Genomic DNA, 3,819 nt, shown 5'->3' on the forward strand with positions numbered 1-3,819 from the left:
CACGTTCCCATCATACAGTGTTCTTCTCTGTGACCTCTCTTTATGTCGTTTATTTTGTGTTCTGGCCCAAACTGCCTTCCTAAGGGCATGAGGATGAGGCTACAAATAAAGGCAGAATATGATGCCAAGTGTTAAAATATAAGTTTTACAGCAACTTGAGAACATGCAAGAGGACACCAGGGTACAAACTGTTAGTGGGTGATTGGTATTAAGTCCTGGGAGCTGGTGAAGAGCACTACAATTGCACAGCAGCCTGAGAGGATGAACCAAGAACTTGGTTGCTATAGATTTGTCATTAACTGTGGGCACTTTGAAAAGAACTGCCAAAGGAAGATGCTATGAGGCCCAGAAAGAAAGGCAGCAGGAATCAGTTGGCTAACTATTTGTACTAAGGCATTTCCCTGGACCAGGGAAGGGTGGTAGCTCCAGCTCCTAGAACAGTTCCTGCCACATAGTAGGTGCTCAATAAAACAGTCTGTGAATAGATAATTGAACAAATGAATACATTTTCAAAGTTTCTATTTTTATCCTCTTCTCTCTTCCTTTTCACTAATCCATCTGTCCCTTCATAAGACCCCTAGAGAAGGGAGAATTTTGCAAGCACAGAGTCATCGTAATCTTCTCCAAACCACTAATGGACCCTCAGCCATCGTTCAAAGAACAAAATGTGGGAAATAGAAACCCTGACACTGAGATGTTAACAATTACAGACGATGCTTATGGAGTCAGTGGTAGACTTGGAAAACGGTGAGTCTACTGTGGTAAGAACAAACATAGGCAGACAGCTATAAATTGCAGTAAACAAACTCAATAAAGATGAGACATCACTTAAGCATGCTCAGGAGTGTACTTAATACCACATTTCACCTAGGTAGCCTGCTATCACGTAGGTATTATTATTGGCATTAAATGTGCTTCTTCTCAACCTTGCCTCCAATCTAAACACCACAATGGGTTTAAAATAATGCAAAAGAATGTTACTCCAATGCCTCCTAAATCCACTCCAAATAACAAATCCTTTAATACAGACTGCAAGGTAAAATATTGTTCCCCAGCAAGTAAATAATAAAATAACTGTAATCCAGGGTAAAAGCTTTGCTGGCCTCATAATCTACTTGAAGAAAAAGCATTAAGTGATTGCTCAACACACCAACAAAATGCTGTTACTGACAAGGCACCTTGAGTTGCCATTAACGAGACATAATTACCAAGAACTGAAATCAGATTTAGTCATCTCATATCTCCCTCTACCTACGCATTCTACCTATTCTTTTTCAGCTTTCACGAATTGAAAGGGGAAGGGAGAGGCAACAGCAGACACTAGGACTATTTTGAGAAATAAAAGGATTCAAAAGTTAAGTGCAACTTCCACTAACATAGTAACACATCTCCCAGGAAGCCCAGGTGACTCAGAAAGTCCTATATGTAGAATATCAATATAGAAACAACTCAGTTTCCATACTTCAAAAGACCTCTTCCTCCAAGTTGAGTTTCGTGCAGATAACTGGCTGATATGTTTCAGATGGAAGCAAATCTGAACATTTCCAAACAATCTACAGGAAGAGATAACCAAGTAATATAGTCCATGCAGCAGAGATAAGCAACTTTCCAGGGTATAATTCAAATCTCACAAACATCCTTAAGAGCCCCAAGTCTATTAAGATCTGGAGACTGTTAAATAGGCAGGACAAAATATCCCACCAACCACCTCTCCAAAAAGCATTGTTCTCCTCGCACTGACACTTGTATTTCCCTCTGGCTTGTTTTTGGAAAACAAATTGAAAAAAAAAACAAAAACAAAAAGTAAACAGTAGTGCCACATCTGTTCTTGTCTTCCTCACGATGGCAGATCACACACACTACCACCATTCCAAGTGCCTCCTGAGCCCCTTTCCTCGACAGCCCCATCCTTCCACGTGTCCATAACTAGGCTTCTCAACTGCAAGGGGGAAGTGAGCAGGAAACTTCAAATGGGACCTGAAGAGGAAATAATGATAATAATGTAAATTGCTACTAATATTAAAAGGGGGAGGGTATTTTTTCTTTCTTTTTATTATTTTATTTTATTTTATTTTATTTATTTATTTTTTTTGAGTCGGAGTCTCGCACTGTCGCCCCGGCTAGATTGCAATGGCGCGATCTCGGCTCACTGCAACCTCTGCCTCCGGGGTTCAAGCGATTCTCCTGCCTCAGCCTCCGGAGTAGCTGGAATTACAGGCGCGCCGCCACGCCCGGCTAATTTTTTTTGTTTTTAGTAGAGACGGGTTTTCACCATGTTGGCGAGGCTGGTCTCGAACTCCTGACTTCGTGATCTGCCCGCCTCGGCCTCCCAAAGTACTGGGATTACAGAGGTGAGCCACCGCGCCCGGCCTCTTTCTGTTTTTAAACAAAACTTCCATTACAAACATCGGAGGCTGCAAGGCACAAACTGGGGCAGGAGTATGCACAGTCGCCCAGGATGACAAGTGGCAGGTTTTTTGTTGATGGTGGTGGTGTTCTGAAACACCAAACTTTAAAATGAACTGTTACTTAGAGAATTACTGTAATCGGAGCGGACGTGCTAACGCTTTTTCACCCCGGCACAAAGCACGCCCCTTCTGCCTCCCTTTCCCAGTCATTCTTCAGGCGTGCGGGAAACCGCGGACAAGCAGAGCACGGGGACCAGCACGATCCTCCTGCCACCACTCCAGTCTCTGCAGGTGCCAGCATAGAAGAAAACCAGGGCTCTCGCCTCCCTCCCCGCCACTGCGGTGCGGTCCCGGGGTGGAGCCACGGCGCGCCCCATCCTGAGAACCCCACCTGGAGGGGAGCAGGGACGCAGGAAGGGCACCGTTGGGAGGCATCACTGGGTTCGCTGAAGGCACAATCGCGCGCGCACACACATACACAGACACACATACACACACGCACGCACACACACACACACACACACAGCGGCGCGCGGTGGCGCGGGCGGCTGGCGCGTTACCTGTTCTGCCAGCCCTGGAGGAGGTTGGTGTATTTGCTGAGCACGCCCTCGAGCGCCGGCTCCCTCCTGCGGCCGCCTCCCCCGGACGGGCTAGCGGCCACAGAGCCCGGGCTGCTGCGGCTTCCCCCGCCGCCGAGCCCGGCCGCCGCCGACCGGCTGGAGACCCCCCGGCCCGCCAGAGAGCAGGAGGGCGAGGAGCCCGCCGAGGTAGCACGGCTGCTGCTGCGGCTGCTGCTGTTGCTACCCCCGCCGCCGTCTGTGCCCTGGACTGCCCTCTCCATGGTCCGTGGGCGCCCGGGACGCGGGTGCCCGCCGCGGTGGCGGCCCCGGCACGGCGGCTGCTGCTGCTGCTACAGCTCCGGACGCCCGGGCCGCGCGTGCCTGCTCCAAATCCCCGGGAAATGCCTGACTCATACAGGAGGAAGAGGAGGAGGAGGCGAAGGAGAGCTGGGAAGGAAGCCAACGGGGCTGGATGCAGCTGCGGCCGCCCCTCCTCCCGCCGCGGCCAGGGCCCGGCCCCTCCCTCCGCACTAGTTTCCCGGGCAAGTTCGGAGCGGGTGGCCGGCTAGGCGAGCCCTCTTCGGGTTCCTCCTTCTCTTCCTTCGTGTCCCTGCGGCCTCTCAGGCCCTCGGGACACTCTAGGAGGCCGATCTGCAGGGTGGGCACGCCCTAAATCCACGCCAAGTCACCCACGCATTCCTTCTGCCACCCTCTCTTGGATCCGAAGGGGCGAAAGGGAATCTCTGCACGTCACTCCCCACCCCTTATCCACCTCGGGACCTGGAGGGAGGGGCAGCCCCACCCACCCGGTCCACCCGGATATGGACCCGCCCGGCCTGACAGGCTCACAC

The 3,819-nt window shown here is 50.9% G+C and overlaps 1 protein-coding gene across 9 annotated transcripts in view, besides 2 other annotated features; it reads right to left on the reverse strand.

Annotated features, from left to right (window-relative positions):
- The window catches only part of OSBPL10 (oxysterol binding protein like 10), a 416,868-nt gene that overhangs the window by 317,106 nt on the left and 95,943 nt on the right, over window positions 1-3,819 (reverse strand). For 5 of the 9 annotated variants that reach the window (XM_047447391.1, NM_001174060.2, NM_017784.5 and 2 more), the window contains exon 1: window positions 2,969-3,332. The exons of the other annotated variants lie outside the window; for them this stretch is intronic. Coding sequence is in view for 4 of the 5 variants with exons in the window: in NM_001174060.2 (NP_001167531.1) it covers window positions 2,969-3,249 (281 nt within the window). In the remaining variant the exon portion in view is untranslated. Of the gene's footprint in view, window positions 1-2,968; window positions 3,333-3,819 lie in introns of those variants that run through there. 9 annotated transcript variants of the gene reach the window in all.
- Window positions 1,418-1,467: an enhancer, noted in NCBI's record as "active region_19632". NCBI's record gives its function as "activates an Ori minimal core promoter by ATAC-STARR-seq in GM12878 lymphoblastoid cells {active_cell/tissue: GM12878}" and the evidence as "EXISTENCE:reporter gene assay evidence [ECO:0000049][PMID:35858748]".
- Window positions 3,022-3,091: a silencer, noted in NCBI's record as "silent region_14164". NCBI's record gives its function as "represses an Ori minimal core promoter by ATAC-STARR-seq in GM12878 lymphoblastoid cells {active_cell/tissue: GM12878}" and the evidence as "EXISTENCE:reporter gene assay evidence [ECO:0000049][PMID:35858748]".

This window comes from Homo sapiens, chromosome 3, assembly GCF_000001405.40.
Source record: "Homo sapiens chromosome 3, GRCh38.p14 Primary Assembly".
NCBI lineage: Eukaryota > Metazoa > Chordata > Mammalia > Primates > Hominidae > Homo > Homo sapiens.